General features: G+C 37.9%; 1 pseudogene across 1 annotated transcript in view; it reads right to left on the reverse strand.

The window, feature by feature from the left end:
- Nucleotides 1-19,809, reverse strand: part of TPTE2P2 (TPTE2 pseudogene 2) — a 104,605-nt pseudogene that overhangs the window by 26,736 nt on the left and 58,060 nt on the right. Inside the window, exons 14-16 of the transcript XR_007063808.1 lie at nt 13,063-13,124; nt 8,471-8,552; nt 8,279-8,367 (exon numbers count right to left, since the gene is read on the reverse strand). The product of XR_007063808.1 is annotated as a TPTE2 pseudogene 2 (transcript). The remainder of the gene's footprint in view (nt 1-8,278; nt 8,368-8,470; nt 8,553-13,062; nt 13,125-19,809) is intronic.

Here is a 19,809-nt window from a genome sequence, read left to right on the forward strand (position 1 = left end):
TAGTCAAGTTGCTAATTACAAGATTAATGAATAAAATGAACTGCATTTAAATCAACAACATTTAGAAAATAAACATTTTAAAGGGATATCATTTAAATAACCACAAAATATCAAATATCTAGGAATAAATCTCATCAAAAATATGCAAGCTTTCTACACAGAAAATGAGAAAACATTGTAAAGAGAAATGGAAGGAAACCTAACTGAATGAGAGAACATCTCTCTTCATGGGTTGGATGGGTCAATATTGTAAAGATTCAATTCTCCCCAATCTATAGATTCAACACAATTCCAAACAAATTTCTATCAGGTGTGTGTATTTGACCAGCTGACTCCCCAATTTTTTTTTTTTATACTTTAAGTTCTAGGGTACATGTGCACAACGTGCAGGTTTGTTACATATGTATACATGTGCCATGTTGGTGTGCTGCACCCATTAACTCGTCATTTACATTAGGTATATCTCCTAATGCTTTCCCTCCCCCCTCCCCCCACCCCATAACAGGCCCTGGTGTGTGATGTTCCCCTTCCTGTGTCCAAGTGTTCTCACTGTTCAATTCCCACCTACGAATGAGAACATGCGGTGTTTGGTTTTTTGTTCTTGTGATAGTTTGCTGAGAATGATGGTTTCCAGCTTCATCCATGTCCTTACAAAGGACACAAACTCATCCTTTTTTACAGCTGCATAGTATTCCATGGTGTATATGTGCCACATTTTCTTAATCCAGTCTGTCATTGATGGACATTTGGGTTGGTTCCAAGTCTTTGCTATTGTGAATAGTGCTGCAATAAACATGCGTGTGCATGTGCCTTTATAACAGCATGATTTATAATCCTTTGGGTATATACCCAGTAATGGGATGGCTGGGTCAAATGGTATTTCTCGTTCTAGATCCTTGAGGAATCGCCACACTGTCTTCCACAATGGTTGAACTAGTTTACAGTCCCACCAACAGTGTAAAAGTGTTCCTATTTCTCCACATCCTCTCCAGCACCTGTTGTTTCCTGACTTTTTAATGATAGCCATTCTAACTGTTGTGAGATGGTATCTTATTGTGATTTTGATTTGTATTTCTCTGATGACCAGTGATGATGAGCATTTTTTCATGTGTCTGTTGGATGTATAAATGTCTTCTTTTGAGAAGTGTCTGTTCATATCCTTCACCCACTTTTTGATGGGGTTGTTTGTTTTTTTCTTGTAAATTTGATTGAGATCTTTGTAGATTCTGGATATTAGCCCTTTGTCAGATGAGTAGATTGCAAAAATTTTCTCCCATTCTGTAGGTTGCCTCTTCACTCTAATGGTAGTTTCTTTTGCTGTGCAGAAGCTCTTTAGTTTAATTAGATCCCATTTGTCAATTTTGGCTTCTGTTACCATTGCTTTTGGTGTTTTAGACATGAAGTCCTTGCCCATGCCTATGTCCTGAATGGTATTGCCTAGGTTTTCTTCTAGGGTTTTTTATGGTTTTAGGTCTAACATTTAAGTCTTTGATCCATCTTGAATTAATTTTTGTATAAGGTGTAAGGAAGGGATCCAGTTTCAGCTTTCTACATACGGCTAGCCAGTTTTCCCAGCACCATTTCCCAGCACCATTTTTTAAATAGGGAATCCTTTCCCCATTTCTTGTTTTTGTCAGGTTTGTCAAAATCAGATGGTTGTAGATGTGTGGTATTATTTCTGAGGGCTCTGTTCTGTTCCATATCTCTATATGTCTATATCTCTGTTTTGGTACCAGTACCATGCTGTTTTGGTTACTGTAGCCTCATAGTATAGTTTGAAGTCAGGTAGCGTGATGCCTCCAGCTTTCTTCTTTTGGCTTAGGATTGACTTGGCAATGCGGGCTCTTTTTTGGTTCCATATGAACTTTAAAGTAGTTTCTTCCAATTTTGTGAAGAAAGTCATTGGTAGCTTGATGGGGATGGCATTGAATCTATAAATTACCTTGGGCAGTATGCCCATTTTCACAATATTGATTCTTCCTACCCATGAGCATGGAATGTTCTTCCATTTGTTTGTAACCTCTTTTATTTCGTTGAGCAGTGGTTTGTAGTTCTCCTTGAAGAGGTCCTTCACATCCCTTGTCAGTTGGATTCCTAGGTATTTTATTCTCTTTGAAGCAATCGTGAATGGGAGTTCACTTATGATTTGGCTCTCTGTTTGTCTGTTATTGGTGTATAAGAATGCTTGTGATTTTTGCACATTGATTTTGTATCCCAAGACTTTGCTGCAGTTGCTTATCAGCTTAAGGAGATTTTGGGCTGAGATGATGGGGTTTTCTAGATATACAATCAAGTCATCTGCAAACAGGGACAATTTGATTTCCTCTTTTCCTAATTGAATACCCTTTATTTCTTTCTCCTGCCTGATCACCCTGGCCAGAACTTCCAACACTATGTTGAATAGGAGTGGTGAGAGAGGGCATCCCTGTCTTGTGCCAGTTTTCAAAGGGAATGTTTCCAGTTTTTGCCCATTCAGTATGATGAATGAACTTCTCTACACTGGTTACTCTAGTCAGCCATTTGTCTAATCTTCTTTCAAGGTTTTTAGCTTCCCTGCATTGGGTTTGAACTTCCTCCTTTAGCTCGGAGAAGTTTGATTGTCTGAAGCCTTCTCCTCTCAATTCGTCGAAATCATTCTCCGTCCAGCTTTGTTCCTTTGCTGGCGAGGAGCTGTGTTCCTTTGGAGGGGGAGAGGTGCTCTCATTTTTAGAATTTTCAGCTTTTCTGCTGTTTTTTCCCCATCTTTGTGGTTTTATCTACCTTTGGTCTTTGATGATGGTGACGTATAGATGGGGTTTTGGTGTGGATGTCCTTTCTGTTTGTTAGTTTTCCTTCTAACAGTCAGGACCCTCAGCTGCAGGTCTGTTGGAGTTTGCTGGAGGTCCACTCCGGACCCTGTTTGCCTGGGTATCAGCAGCGGAGGCTGCAGAACAACGAATATTGCTGAACAGCAAATGTTGCTGCCTGATCATTCCGCTGGAAGCTTTGTCTCAGAGGGGTACCCGGCCATGTGAGGTGTCAGTCTGCCCCTACCGGGCGGTGCCTCACAGTTAGGCTACTCAGGGGTCAGAGACCCACTTGAGGAGGTAGTCTGTCCGTTCTCAGATCTCAAACTCCGTGCTGGGAGAACCACTACTCTCTTCAAAGCTGTCAGACAGAGACATTTAAGTCTGCAGAGGTTTCTGCTGCCTTTTGTTTGATTCCCAAATTTATATGGAAATGTAGACGGCCTAAAATACACAAACAATTATGAAGAAAAAGATGATTGTCCTCACTTGACTGGAAATAAGGACTATTAGAAAGCTACAGTAAGATGGTTGTGCTATTGGCACACAGATGAAAAATCAATGAACAGAATAGAAAGGTCAGAAGCAGACTCATGTTCTGCAGGGAAGTAAAGAAATAAAAATCTTCTCAACCAGTGTACTGGAATAATTGGATAGCCATATATGGAAAAAGATGAAACTTAACCTCTTCCTCACACCACACCTATAAATCAATTTTTAAATGAATGAACCATCTAGAAGAAAATATAGTAGTAGAATGTCTTTAAACTCAAGGAAAATTTTCTTAATCAGGACACAAAAACACAAACTTTATAAAGAGAAAGCATAATACCTATGATGGTAATACAACTAAGAACTTCTGTTAACCAAAAGATACTCCTAAGAGAGAGAAAAGGCAAATCACAGAGCAGAAAAGTTTTCTTGAAATACATATATGACCAATAACAGAATGGAAATCAGAATATATAAAAAACTGCAAATCAAGAGAAAAAAAGACAAATAATCCAGGAGAAAAATGGGTAAGAAAACTTAACAGTTACTTTACAAAAAAGGATATCCAAATACTTAATAATATTAAGAAAACTTCTTCAATCTTATTAGTAATTATAGAAATGCAAATGAACACCACCATAATATGCCATCACACAAACACCCAATGGCTAAAAATCAAAATACTCAGAATTGCAAGTACTGGGGAAGATATGGAATGCTTCGAGTGTGCGATACCAGTGGAGTGAAAATTGGTACAACTGTTTTAGAAACAGGTGACATTATCAAGTAAAGTTCAAGATTCATTACCTTAAGACAGAACCATTTTAGTCTGAGGTACATACTCAACAAAAATATGGCCACATATGCAACAAGAAACATGTATTTTTAAAAGCAGCATTATTGGGCCAGGCGCAGTGGCTCACCCTGTAATATCAGCTCTTTGGTAGGCCGAGGTAGGCAGATCACTTGAGGTCAGCAGTTCGAGACCAGCCTGGCCAACATGGTGAAACCCTGTCTCTACTAAAAATACAAAACAGCCAGGCGTGGTGGCAGGCGCCTGTAATCCCAGCTACTCCAGAGGCTGAGGGATGAAAATCACTTGAACCTGGGAGGCAGAGGTTGCAGTGCGCGAGATCATACCACTGCACTCCAGCCTGGGTGACAGAGTGAGACTCCGTCTAAAAAAAAAAAAAAAAAGTAGCATTATTTATCATAGTAAAAACTGGAAACAACCCAAATGTAACAGGAAAAAAAAAAAGAGATTCCACTTGCAGTCACAATTTGTGTAGGAATGAATTTGTGAAAAGATGTGCAAAGACATGATGAAGAAAATATAAAATATTTAATTAAAGAATGAACAAGATCAATCACATGTATAACTTATTATCACAAAGTTGTCAGTTCTCTCGAGTGAATCTATAAATTCAATGTAGTTCCAATGAAAATCCTAAGCGTGTTTTATAATGGAACTTGACAAAATGATTTTAAAATTTAATGAAAGAATAACGTTCCAAGAAGAGCAAGACAATTCTGCCTTTATCAAACTACAATATAAAGCTACAATAATTACAAAAGTGTGATATAGAGAACTTAGAAACAATTTTGAATATTTCTAGAAACTTGGTATATGATTGAGAGGAATCACAAATAAATGGAGAACAAAATAGCATGCAATTGATGCTGTTAGGACCGTTGGCTATCCATATGAAAAAAAAACCTCCCCCAAATTTCAATTAGATTTAAGACCCAAATATTAAAAATGCAACTTGAAGATTTTTGAAGAAATGTGGAATATCTTTACTACCTCAGTATAGGGGTGAATTTCTTAAACATGACAGAAAAGCATGAAATACAAACACATCGATTAACACATTTTACCACATTCAAAATTACAAACTTCTTGCTGGCACAATGGCTCATGCCTATAATCCCAGCACTTTGGGAAGCTGAGGCGAGTGGAATATTTGAGTCCAGGAGTTCAAGACCAGTCTGGGCAACATAGGGAGACCCTGTCTCTACAAAAAATACAAAAATTGCCCCGGCGTGGTGGCGCGTGCCTGTAATCCCACCTACTCAGAGGGGCTGAGGCGGGAAGATCACTTGAGTACAGGGAGGTTGAGGCTGCAATGAGCCGAGATTGAGCCATTGTACTCCAGCCTGGGTGACAGAACGAGACTGTGTCTCAAAACAAAACACAAATTTACAAGCTTTTATACAACAAAATAAATCACAATCAAATTTAAAAGACAACACAGTGGGAGAATATACTTGCAATACTAAGAAAAATTGGCATTTAGATTCTTTAAAGAACTCCTATAAATCAATAATAAAATATTTCTACTCTCATGATACTACTGATAACCTGCAGGCAGCAACCAATCACAAGACAGCAAGATTAATTTGAATGAACATTTTTAAAAAGAGGCTTCTCTGGTGCATACCAGCTGAATATTCTCTAAACAACCTAAAAAAATCAACAAAATATTATGTGAACCCAGAATTATGCAAACCCCCTCTCAGCAAAAGTTTTTAGAAAAAAGTCAAATTTGAAATCCTTCAAGCAAGGAATTAGTATTAGTTAATAGAAAACTGATGCTACTGCTTGAAAAATAACATGTTAGGTTAGGCAATGTGAAATGGCCATTTTTAAACCAAAAGATGGTTAAAAAACTGGGAACTTCAAATGATTCAACTTCTATATTCTTAATTTAACTATGATATTGTAAATTGCCACTTTATACAGAATATTCAAACCTGTAGAGCTAAACACTGAACCGGTATATTAACTAATGGGCTTGAAACTAGTTCTCAATAAAACTAAAACTTCATTTTATTGAATAACATAAGTCAGTTTACAGTGTTATGTTTTCCTGGAATTTGATATAAAAATGGTTTTACAGCCCTCTAAGAAGGTAATTCTTTATGTTTATCAAAAATTGTGAAATATACTTAGATGATTATTCAAAGCCTAAACCTGAATGAGAGAAAATCTAACTGAACTTAAATTGATTGGATTTACAAGTGGCTTTTCCCCCCATTTTAACCCCACCAATATAAACTTCTTTGTATCATTACACTATCATAAGTCCAGTATAATTTTTGAAATAGCATCTCTGTGTTGGCTCCCTTAATCTAAAAGATTCTCACCAAGTTTAAGAACAAACTTAAATATTACTGGAACAAAAACAGACATATAGATCAATGGAACAGAATAGAAAGCCCAGAATAAATCCGTGCATTTTTCAGCTGATCTTCAACAAAGGTGCCAAGAATCCACGATGAGGAAAGGACAGTCTCTTCAATAAACAATACTGGGGAAACTGGACATCCACTTGCGGAAGAATGAAACTGCACCCTATCTCACCCAGTGTACAAAAATCAACTCAAAGTAAAGACTTAACTGTGAAACCTGAAACTGGAAAACTACTAGAAGAAAACATAGGGGAAAAGTTTCTTGACACTGGTCTGGGCCAAGATTTTTTGGATATGACTGAAAAGCACAGGCAACAAAAGAAAAAATAGACAAATGACATTGTATCAAACTGAAAAGCTTTTGCACAGCAAAGGAAACAATTATAAAGAGACCACCTACAGAATGGGAGAAAAATACCTGCAAAGCATATATTCAAGAACAGGTTAATTTTTTTTTTAAAGGAACTCAAACAACACAATAACAAGAGAACAAGTTACTTCTCTAAAAAATGGGCAAAGAACCTGAAAAGATATATCTCAAAAGAAGACATATGAATGGCCAAGAGGTATATGAAAAAATGCTCAACATCATTAATCATCAGGAAAACCAAATTAAAATCACAAAGAGATATCCTCATACCTGTTAGGATGGTGATTAACAAAAAGACAAAAGAAGAGTTGGTGAGGATGTAGAGAAAAGAGAACCCTCTTGTACACTGTTGGTGTGAGTGTAAATTAGTAGTTATTATGGAAAACAGCATAGGGACACCTCAAAAAACTAAAAATAAAAAAATAGAACTACCATATGATTTGGAGATTCCACTTCTGGGTATATGTCCAAAGAAAATGAAATCTGCACTCCCATGTTCACTGCAGCATTATTCATAATAGCCAAGCTATGGAGTCAATCTAAATGTCATCAATGGAAGAACAGATAAAGAATACCTGGTATATATAAATAAGAACACACTGTTCGGCCTTAGAGGATATCCTGTCCCTTGAGATAACAAGGATGAGCCTGGAGAACGTTATGCTAAGTGAAAGGAGCCAGGCATAGAAAGACAAATATTGGATGTCTCACTTCTTTGTGGACTCTAAAAATGTCAAATTCATAGAAGCAGAGAGTAGAATGGTGGTTACCAGGGGCTGGGGGGAACAAAAAGGAGGGATTGTGGAGATGTCAGTTAAAGGATGCAAAATTTCAGTTAGACAGGAATAAGTTCAGGAAATTTATTGCACAACATGGTGACCATAGTTAATAATAATATAGATTTGAAAATTACTGAGAGAGTACAATTTAAATGTTCTCACCACAAAAAAGTAAAAAGTATGTGGAGTAATGCATATGTTAATTAGGTTGATTTAGCCATTTTACAATGTTTACATATATCAAAACATCATGTGGTATACCATGAATATACTGATTTTTATTTGTTAATTTAAAAATAAAAAAGAGCAGCCTTAAATAAAACTACTCTGACACTCCAAAATTAAAGACTTTGTATTTTGAGAGATATAAACTGGCAAACCAAAAACAAAGATATCCAAATAGAAAAACAAGAGAAAATATGCTCAACCCTCCTTAGTTCTTTTTTCCTACTTTCTTCCCTTCCTTATCCTCTCCCTATCTCCTACTCTTCCTCCTCTCCTCTTTCCTTTCTCCTTCCCTTCTTTCAGTCTTACAGCTAATACTTTTAAATGCTAACAATTACTAATACTTATTAATAGCAACAGGTATCTTGTTCTTGTGCTTTACATATCCTTACACGTCTTTAGAATGGGAGGAATAAAAAGGAAAACGTTATTACCTTTGCCTCCTTTACAGTGAATCACTACGATGTTTTCAGAATCTTGAGCCATCCACTCCAACACTTCCTTGGAGAATGCTACCATCTCCCTGATTTCAAGGTTAGGATTTTTAGTTGAGTTAAAATATTTTCAAAAAATCAAGCCCAATAGATTTAGCCCCCTTCTCATAGTCAACTTAGCATAAAACTTACCGTAGAGTGGGGACATTATGATCATCGATCATGATTCTACTGACCCTATTATGGAAGTGCTTAGGATCATAAGCTCTTTCACCTAAAATAAATAATATGTATGTCATATCTCTATATATAATAACATAGTAAATGATGAAGTTATGAGCAACATAAAATATCTTATTAGAAATTCCCTATCCATCTTCAAAAGGAGCTTTCCAAGTTGCTTCTGCTGCTCTAAAATAAACTTAAGAATCTCAAAAACATAAGCATATAAGCAGATTATCCATCTCATGTCACCTAAACTCAACTTACTTTTGTTTAATAGGTGTAATTTTTAACTTTCTAGCAGACTATCATTATATTATTGCAGGGTAGTTAGAAACCACGCAAGAGATCGCGGAGCCAAGGAGGCCGAATAGGAACAGCTCCGGTCTACAGCTCCCAGTGTGAGCGATGCAGAAGACGGGTGATTTCTGCATTTCCATCTGAGGTACCGGGTTCATCTCACTAGGGAGTGCCAGACAGTGGGCGCAGGTCACTGGGTGCAGCGCACCGGGCGCGAGCCGAAGCAGGGCGAGGCATTGGCTCACTGGGGAAGCGCAAGGGGTCAGGGAGTTCCCTTTCCTAGTCAAAGAAAGGGGTGACACACGGCACCTGGAAAATTGGGTCACTCCCACCCCAATACTTCGCTTTTCCGACGGGCTTAAAAAATGGCGCACCAGGAGATTATATCCTGCACCTGGCTTGGAGGGTCCTACGCCCACGGAGTCTCGCTGATTGCTAGCACAGCAGTCTGAGATCAAACTGCAAGGCAGCAGCAAGGCTGGGGGAGGGGCGCCCGCCATTGCCCAGGCTTGCTTAGGTAAACAAAGCAGCCTGGAAGCTCCAACTGGGTGGAGCCCACCACAGCTCAAGGAGGCCCGCCTGCCTCTGTAGGCTCCACCTCTAGGGGCAGGGCACAGACAAACAAAAAGACAGCAGTAACCTCTGCAGACTTAAATGTCCCTGTCTGACAGCTTTGAAGAGAGCAGTGGTTCTCCCAGCATGCAGCTGGAGATCTGAGAACGGGCAGACTGCCTCCTCAAGTGGGTCCCTGACCCCTGACCCCTGAGCAGCCTAACCGGGAGGCACTCCCCAGTAGGGGGAGACTGACACCTCACACAGCCGGGTACTCCTCTGAGACAAAACTTCCAGAGGAACTATCAGACAGCAGCATTCGCGGTTCACGAAAAACCACTGTTCGGCAGACACCGCTGCTGATACCCAGGGTCTGGAGTGGACCTCTAGCAAACTCCAACAGCCCTGCAGCTGAGGGTCCTGTCTGTTACAAGGAAAACTAACAAACAGAAAGGACATCCACACCAAAAACCCATCTGTACATCATCATCATCAAAGACCAAAAGTAGATAAAACCACAAAGATGGGGAAAAAACAGAGCAGAAAAACTGGAAACTCTAAAAAGCAGAGCGCCTCTCCTCCTCCAAAGGATCGCAGTTCCTCACCAGCAATAGAACAAAGCTGGATGGAGAATGACTTTGACGAATTGAGAGAAGAAGTCTTCAGATGATCAAACTACGAGCTACAGGAGGAAATTCAAACCAAAGGCAAAGAAGTTAAAAACTTTGAAAAAAATTTAGACGAAACGTATAACTAGAATAACCAATACAGAGAAGTGCCTAAAGGAGGTGATGGAGCTGAAAGCCAAGGCTCAAGAACTACGTGAAGAATGCAGAAGCCTCAGGAGCCGATGCGATCAACTGGAAGAAAGGGTATCAGCGATGGAAGATGAAATGAATGAAATGAAGCGAGAAGGGAAGTTTAGAGAAAAAAGAATAAAAAGAAACGAATAAAGCCTCCAAGAAATATGGGACTATGTGAAAAGACCAAATCTACGTCTGATTGGTGTACCTGAAAGTGATGGGCAGAATGGAACCAAGTTGGAAAACACTCTGCAGGATATTATCCAGGAGAACTTCCCCAATCTAGCAAGGCAGGCCAACATTCAGATTCAGGAAATACAGAGAACGCCACAAAGACACTCCTCGAGAAGAGCAACTCCAAGACACATAATTGTCAGATTCACCAAAGTTGAAATGAAGGAAAAAATGTTAAGGGCAGCCAGAGAGAAAGGTCGGGTTACCCACAAATGGAAGCCCATCAGACTAACAGCGGATCTCTCGGCAGAAACTCTACAAGCCAGAACAGAGTGGGAGCCAATATTCAACATTCTTAAAGAAAAGAATTTTCAACCCAGAATTTCATATCCAGCCAAACTAAGCTTCATAAGTGAAGGAGAAATAAAATCCTTTACAGACAAGCAAATGCTGAGAGATTTTGTCACCACCAGGCCTGCCCTACAAGAGCTCCTGAAGGAAGCACTAAACATGGAAAGGAACAACCAGTACCAGCCGCTGCAAAATCATGCCAAAATGTAAAGACCATCGAGACTAGGAAGAAACTGCATCAACTAACGAGCAAAATAACCAGCTAACATCATAATGACAGGTTCAAATTCACACATAACAATATTAACTTTAAATGTAAATGGACTAAATGCTCCAATTAATGACACAGACTGGCAAATTGGATAAAGAGTCAAGACCCATCAGTGTGTTGTATTCAGGAAACCCATCTCACATGCAGAGACACACATAGGCTCAAAATAAAAGGATGGAGGAAGATCTACCAAGCAAATGGAAAACAAAACAAGGCAGGGGTTGCAATCCTAGTCTCTGATACAACAGACTTCAAACCAACAAAGATCAAAAGAGACAAAGAAGGCCATTACATAATGGTAAAGGGATCAATTCAACAAGAAGAGCTAACTATCCTAAATATATATGAACCCAATACAGGTGCATCCAGATTCATAAAGCAAGTCCTGAGTGACCTACAAAGAGACTTAGACTCCCACACATTAATAATGGGAGACTTTAACACCCCACTGTCAACATTAGACAGATCAGTGAGACAGAAAGTCAACAAGGATACCCAGGAATTGAACTCAGCTCTGCACCAAGCGGACCTAATAGACATCTACAGAACTCTCCACCCCAAATCAACAGAATATACATTTTTTTCAGCACCACACCACACCTATTCCAAAATTGACCACATACTTGGAAGTAAAGCTCTCCTCAGCAAATGTAAAAGAACAGAAATTATAACAAACTATCTCTCAGACCACAGTGCAATCAAACTAGAACTCAGGATTAAGAAACTCACTCAAAACCGCTCAACTACATGGAAACTGAACAACCTGCTCCTGAATGACTACTGGGTACATAACGAAATGAAGGCAGAAATAAAGATGTTCTTTGAAACCAACGAGAACAAAGACACAACATACCAGAATCTCTGGGACACATTCAAAGCAGTGTGTAGACGGAAATTTATAGCACTAAATGCCCACAAGAGAAAGCAGGAAAGATCCAAAATTGACACCCTAACATCACAATTAAAAGAACTAGAAAAGCAAGAGCAAACACATTCAAAAGCTAGCAGAAGGCAAGAAATAACTAAAATCAGAGCAGAACTGAAGGAAATAGAGACACAAAAAACCCTTCAAAAAATTAATGAATCCAGGAGCTGGTTTTTTGAAAGGATCAACAAAATTGATAGACCGCTAGCAAGACTAATAAAGAAAAAAAGAGAGAAGAATCAAATAGATGCAATAAAAAATGATAAAGGGGACATCACCACCGATCCCACAGAAATACAAACTACCATCAGAGAATACTACAAACACCTCTATGCAAATAAACTAGAAAATCTAGAAGACATGGATAAATTCCTCGACACATACACTCTCCCAAGACTAAACCAGGAAGAAGTTGAATCTCTGAATAGACCAATAACAGGAGCTGAAATTGTGGCAATAATCAATAGCTTACCAACTAAAAAGAGTCCAGGACCAGATGGATTCACATCCGAATTCTGCCAGAGGTACAAGGAGGAACTGGTACCATTCCTTCTGAAACTATTCCAATCAATAGAAAAAGAGGGAATCCTCCCTACCTCATTTTATGAGGCCAGCATCATCCTGATACCAAAGCCGGGCAGAGACACAAGCAAAAAAGAGAATTTTAGACCAATATCCTTGATGAACATCCTTGATGACTGCCCCCTGTCTATTGAGTATACAGGTAGAGAAAAAAATCAAGACAGAGTGATAAGCTGGGTTGTAACCTATTTTCTAAAGAGTTTGCTTTTTTCCCACCTAGGGCCCTGCTCTCATCACAACCCACTGCTAATGGGTCAGAGGACTCATCTGTTAAATTGTCTATGTCCTCATAACACAATCTGGCAGGAAAAACAGACAGATGTTCCTAAACCTAATATCACTAGAACAGATCTTCCCTAAAATGGTTTGCCTTCACTCTAGCCTCATTGGTCCTGCCAGAGCTGCCTCCTTCATAGGGTACTTTGTGCTCCTGGGCTAACTCCTTCTACCAAATGGGGCCAGTCCAAGACAGGGATTTTTAAATTCCTTCCTCACCACCACCAAATACTTATGATTAAATGCAATGTAAAAAACAAAATCATCTTCTTACATTCAGTAATCTGTTTTCTATCTACAGTAGCAAAATACAGAGTAAGGTACATACTGCATAGATTGTAGACTCGATAGTGGTTTGGATGTTTCTTTGTCTAGAAACTGTATGACTTCCTAAAAAAGAGAAACACATATTTTCCATAGTCACATGGCACCAACATAAGCCATTTCCACGAGGAACCTAAAATGGTTATTACTTTCTATTACTTTGTCTCTCACTAGCATCTTCTAGGGGAGACTCAGGGAATACAAGCGTATGCCAATTTCAAGTTCTAATCCACTGTGGTTTTTCAAATAGTCCACAAAGCGTGTTTGACTACTCAGATTAGCCTCTATTGTAAATACACACTGTTTAAAGCTATCAGAAAAGTAAATTAGATGGTTAACTAACTTTAAGTAAATTTGTTCCAAATCATAATTCACAGTTAATGTGGTTCTTATTTAAATCTAATTCATATTGCTTCTTATTTAAATTTAATTCTGATTAGGTATGTCTTTTAGATAGTGATTTGAATATTACATTCTACCTAAGCACTATGTAAACAAATAAATGCAAAAAGTATACACTATGATTGTGTGTGTATGCATGACAGAAAAAGATAAACATATTATATCAATTTATAAATAACTCGTAACAATATGGAAACTTTTTTGGCTCACCTGTTCTCTTAATTTTTTAATGAAGATATATATATACCGGTAAGTGTGTGTGTGTGTGTGTATATATATATACCTTTTCAATGAAAAATAGTAATTATCTGAAATATAATTAATATCACTATACAAATCCAACAATTTTTTCAGGAAATATCTCTTTCTGAAACATACACACATATGTATATATCTCTGTGCAACAACAAAAATGACACAATTTCAAAAACTGATTAGTATGGTACTGTCAGAACAATGTTTACTGGCTTAATATGGAGAACACTAACATTAAGGTATCAAAGTCATCCATTTATTAAATTGGTTATCTATGTTAGGAGGAAATAATACGTCAAAAAGATGAACACTCCGAATCTGCATAGTGGCAGAGAGGAAGGATAAAACATTTCATATACTTTAGAATTCATGAAATTTCTTACCTAAAATCCATATACATTTAGAAAACACATATTAAAAACTACAAACATCTATGAGAAATTTAAGTGAATTTTAATTCTTTGAATGAGGAAGAACTAAAAGTGTTGAATCAATGGAAGATCTATAGCCTTAGGTTTAACTTCATAAAATTCTGAAATTTCTGTTGAAAAATGCTATAATGAACAACAGGGGAAAATATTTTTTCAGAAAAATGCACTGTTGGGGACTATGCCTAGGATAATAAATTAATAATTCATTAACAACAACTTAAATATTACTCCCTCATCTTATAGATAAATGGGCCAAGGACATAAACAATCCATAAAAGAGAAAATCAAACTGATTAACAACCTACATAATATTCAGTGTCGCCAATAAAGAAGTCAAAACAACAGTGACATGACATTTGCGCCCATGAAATTAGCCCTTTTCCTTTTAATGAGAAAATCCAATGCTGGCAAAATAAGGCATGACATTAAAAACTTTGATTTATTTTGATACAGTAATACAATTGCTCTTGGATTTGGCAATATATATTAAGAACCCTAAAAATATTCATTCTCTTCAACTAGGTAATTTCACTCCTAACAATCTGTACAGAAAAAGCCTTACGCCCAAAGATATTTGTTGTTGTATTATTGATAATAGTGACACTTACATGTCCAACATTAGAGGTTCATCATAGCACTAATGAAATATCATGCAACCATTAGAATACTGTCCTGTTCTTCATTCTCTCAACCAGTAAATATCTCACTGCAGTAATTTATGTGCAGGCTTCTTTAGCGTACATATATAGGAAAACAGTTGGCCGGGCGTGGTGGCTCATGTCTGTAATCCCAGCACTTTGGGAGGCCGAGGCAGGTGGATCACGAGGTCAGGAGTTCAAGACCAGCCTGGGCAAGATGGTGAAACCCCGTCTCTACTAAAAATACAAAAATTAGCCAGGCATGGTGGTGGGTGCCTGTAATCCCAGCTACTTGGGAGGCTGAGGCGGGAGTATCGCTTGAAGCCCGGAGGTGGAGGTTGCAGTGAGCCGAGATTGCGTCACCGCACTCTAGCCTGGGTGACACAGCAAGACTCCAACTCAAAAAAAAAAAAAAAAGAAAAGAAAAACAGGCAATATTTGCTTTTTCCTGGGAAGACAAATATACTGGAGGGTTAAACTTTAGGGATTCTCTGAATCCCCTTCCTAGTTCTCTCAATGTCTAAAAAATTATATATATATACATATATGTATATGTATATATATGTGTGTGTATATACTTTTTATAATTATATGTTTATATATACTTTTTATAATTATATGTGTATATATACTTTTTATAATTATATATATATATATATATATATATATATATATATATAGACTCAATATATTGATGATTTACTGCTGTGTTTCCTGATCTAAGTAGTTTACTAAAGGATCCAAATACCTCTTATTCAAAGTAGGTGAAAAGGGACATAAAGAACCTAGAGAAAAGGTGAACTCTGCCAAGAATCTACATTTTTCTGGTCACAAGCTGTCACCAGATGGACAGTTTCTGTTTTCAACCAGAATAAAGAGCATTCAATTCTACCAAGAACAGAAATCAAAAGATGGCTAAGAAGATTTTAGGACTGTAGGTAATTGTATATCTGATTTTTCTCATAGCTCAGCCTTTGCATGCGCTTACTAAGTTTATACTTTCTGATGCAACTTCCTTGTGATGCAAAAGTAGAAAATGCTACTCTGTGAAAGCCTTCTTTTTTTTTTTTCTTATTTTCCATATTTCTTTTTTTTTTTTTTTTTTTATACTTTAAGTTTTAGGGTACATGTGCACATTGTGCAGGTTAGTTACATATGTATACATGTGCCATGCTGGTGCGCTGCACCCACTAACTCGTCATCTAGCATTAGGTATATCTCCCAATGCTATCCCTCCCCCCTCCCCCCACCCCACCACAGTCCCCAGAGTGTGATATTCCCCTTCCTGTGAAAGCCTTCTTGCAACAACCTCCACCTTCGGTTTTCCTAAATCTGCTCAACTCTTCTCTCTGCCTATCTTAGTACATTCCTTCATTTGGAAGCAAAGGTACACCCTCTGTACCTGCATGAGGTGGTAGCAGTGGCCAAACTTCTTGATGCTTCCACCACAGTGCTTGTTTGTCCACTAACTCTATGGGTCCAACATCTCTAAAGTTTTTGCTACTTCAAGGCAGCATCTGACATTTCTCCACTAGTAAATTTACCACTTAGGAAATTGTAAGGTCTGCTTTGCATATTCAGTGTTGTTCAAAATGTAACCCTGCAAATTTATTCTCTTATAAGAATAAAGAGGAATCACATGACTGTTTAGCATCCTCTCAGAAGTTAAGTATACCCGGATTTGAATCATGTACCTTTGAGTCAACCTTGATTTAATATACATCGTGGATGGTTCTCAAAAATGACAAAGGCACTCCAAGTGCAGAATATGCTGTTGTCATTGAACATGCAATGACTGAAGTGCTCCATGGCCTAATTCTCGGCCTGTCCAGGTAGCTGAACTAGTAGCTTAGATTTGGGGCTGCGCTCTGGCAAAGATGAAAGACTAAATATTAATATGGACAGTAGATTTACTTTTTGGGTGGCTCATGATTTGTGGCATTTATTAAAACACATGATTTATTACCTCCTTTCTGGATACTCTGATTAAAAATGGTAAAGAAATCAGTGACTTATTAGTACTTTTGTCAATGCCCTAAGGAGATAACAGTTTAATAACGGATAGAAATCAATAGTCTAGCCATCACCCCACAAGGAAATAGTAATGTCTTTGTTTTGATTTATATGCTAAGTGAGGTTTTTGGCTGTTAAAAACACCCCAGCTAATATTAAGTCTTCCCAAACTGATATTAGGCACCACCAAAACTACTAAAAGAAAATTGGCTCAGTTTAGACATGCCATAATTAACTCACAGTTATTAGCTCAACCAGCTTTAAAAAACAATATTAGCAATCAAGAGATGCTTTACCCATAAAGATGGAATTGGGAATTTGGGGATCGCTGCCCTCAAGTGGTATGACCCATCCAATGGACCCTGGTCACATTGCTCCATGACTGTTCCCATTATGGGAGAAGAAAAGTAATTCCACCTCAAATAAATAGTTTGAAACAATTTTCAAAATTGGCCAAGGGTGTGGTCGAATCATGTCTTAGCTGGGAGTAGTATAACCTGGGTGAGATGTGGGTCAGATCCTTCTCTTCAAGGTCTTTGGGTATTTACAAATGCATTTTTATACAACTGCTGAAGCCTTGAGTTTCTGACTATATATTAGTTATTTCTTGTAAACTATCTGCATGTATAAAAATGCTTCCCTGCCTGAGAATAAGGTAGAAAGATTCCATCAGTGGTCCCAATTCTTCATCTTTTCCTGAATCCCGGCCCTCACATTTCACCTTGTAGTGCCCTTTCACTCTAAATTTGGGCTCTATTATGTGAGTTGATTTGGTCAATGGGATGTCACAAAGGAGAGCCTTGCAAAAGCACTTGTAAGATTCCACTCTAGCTCTTTCCTTTTGCCATTACCCTGAAACATATCCATCATATTCATCCTGATGGAGGATGAAGATGAGTTTAGCAGATAGGAGTTATCCAAGACACCAAAGCTAAGGTAAATGTAGACCAACAGATAAAGACATTTCAAGGAAAGAAAATTTCATATCACTCATGCACATAGATGAAAAGTTCTAAATAAAATATTAGCAAACAGAATCTAGTGATATATAAAACGATAATACATTAAGACCAAAGGGAGTTTATTCCAAAAATAAAAAAGGTTGGCTTAACATTTGAAAATCTCATTAATGGAAAAACACAAAAACATTTTGATTACCTTGATAGATGCAGAAAAAATATCCAGTCTACTCAACACCAATTCATGATTGAAAACTTTTAGCAAACTAGAAATAAAATGGATTGTCTGAATCTGGTAAAGAATGACTACAGAAGCCTATAGCAAACATCGTTTCAAATAGTGAAGTATAAAATTCCTTCCACCTGAGTTTGGGAATAAGGCAAGGCTGCCTCCTCTTACCATTTCTATTCAATATTACAGTGAAAGTCCTAGATAATTCAATAAGGAAAGAAAAAAGTACAAAAACTGGGAAGAAAGTAGTAACTTTATGATTGTATACATAAAATCCCAGGGAATCTACACATTAATTATTAAAATGAATGTGTGAATTTATGAAGGATGCTAGATATAAAGCTAATATACAAGGCCAAGTGTGGTGGCTCACACCTGTAATACCAGCACTTTGGGAGGCTCAGGTGGGAAGACTGCTTGAACCCAGGAGTTTGAGACCAGCCTGGGCCAGTGAGACCAGTGAGACTCCCTGTCTACAAAAATTAAGTTAAAAAAAATTAGCCAAGTGTGGTGGTGCCTGCTTGTAGTCCCAGCTACACGGGAGACAGAGGTGGGTGAATTGCATGAGCCCAGGTGCCACTGCACTCCAGCCTGCGGTGACAGAGCAAGGCCCTGTCTAAAACAAACAAACAAATACTAAAACATTCCATGCTCATGGATAGGAAGAATCAATATTGTGAAAATGGCTATACTGCCCAAAGTAATTCATAGATTCAATGCTATTCCCATCAAGCTACCATTGACTTTTGTCACAGAACTAAAAAAAACTACTTTAAATTTCATATGGAACCAAAAAGAGCTCGTATAGCCAAGACAATCCTAAACAAAAAGAACAAAGCTGGAGGCATCACACTACCTGACTTCAAACTATACTACAAGGCTACAGTAACCAAAACAGTGTGGTACTAGTGCCAAAACAGATATATAGACCAATGGAACAGAACAGAGACCTCAGAAATAACACTACACATCTACAACCATCTGATCTTCGACAAACCTGACAAAAACAAGCAATGGGGAAAGGATTCCCTATTTAATCAATGGTGCTGGGGAAACTGGCTAGCCATATGCAGAAAACAGAAACTGGACCGCTTCCTTACACCTTATACAAAAATTAACTCAAGATGGATTAAAGATGTAAACATAAAACCTAAAACTATAAAAACCCTAGAAGAAAATGTAGGCAATACCATGAAGGACATAGGCATGGGCAAAGACTTCATGACTAAAACACCAAAAGCAATTGCAACGACAGCCAAAATTGACAAATGGAATCTAATTCAACTAAAGAGCTTCTGCCCAGCAAAAGAAACTATCATCAGAGTGAACAGGCAACCTACAGAATGGGAGAAAATTTTTGCAATCTACCCATCTGACAAAGGGCTAATATCCAAAATCTACAAATAACTGAAACAAATTACAAGAAGAAAACAACCCCATCAAAAAGTGGGTGAAGGACATGAACAGACACTTCTCAAAAGAAGACATTTATGCAGCCAACAAACATACAAAAAAAAGCTCATCATTACTGGTCATTAGAGAAATGCAAATCAAAACCACAGTGAGATACCATTTCATGTCAGTTAGAATGGCGATTATTAAAAAGTCTGGAAACAACAGATGCTGGAGAGGATGTGGAGAAATAGCAACACTTTTACACGCTGGCAGGAGTGTAAATTAGTTTAACCATTGTGGAAGACAGTGTGGCGATTCCTCAAGGATCTAGAACCAGAAATACCATTTGACCCAGCCATCCCATTACTGGGTATATACCCAAAGGATTATAAATCATTCTACTATTAAGACACATGCACACATATG

This window comes from Homo sapiens, chromosome 13 (genome assembly GCF_000001405.40).
Source record: "Homo sapiens chromosome 13, GRCh38.p14 Primary Assembly".
In the NCBI taxonomy this organism is placed as follows: domain Eukaryota; kingdom Metazoa; phylum Chordata; class Mammalia; order Primates; family Hominidae; genus Homo; species Homo sapiens.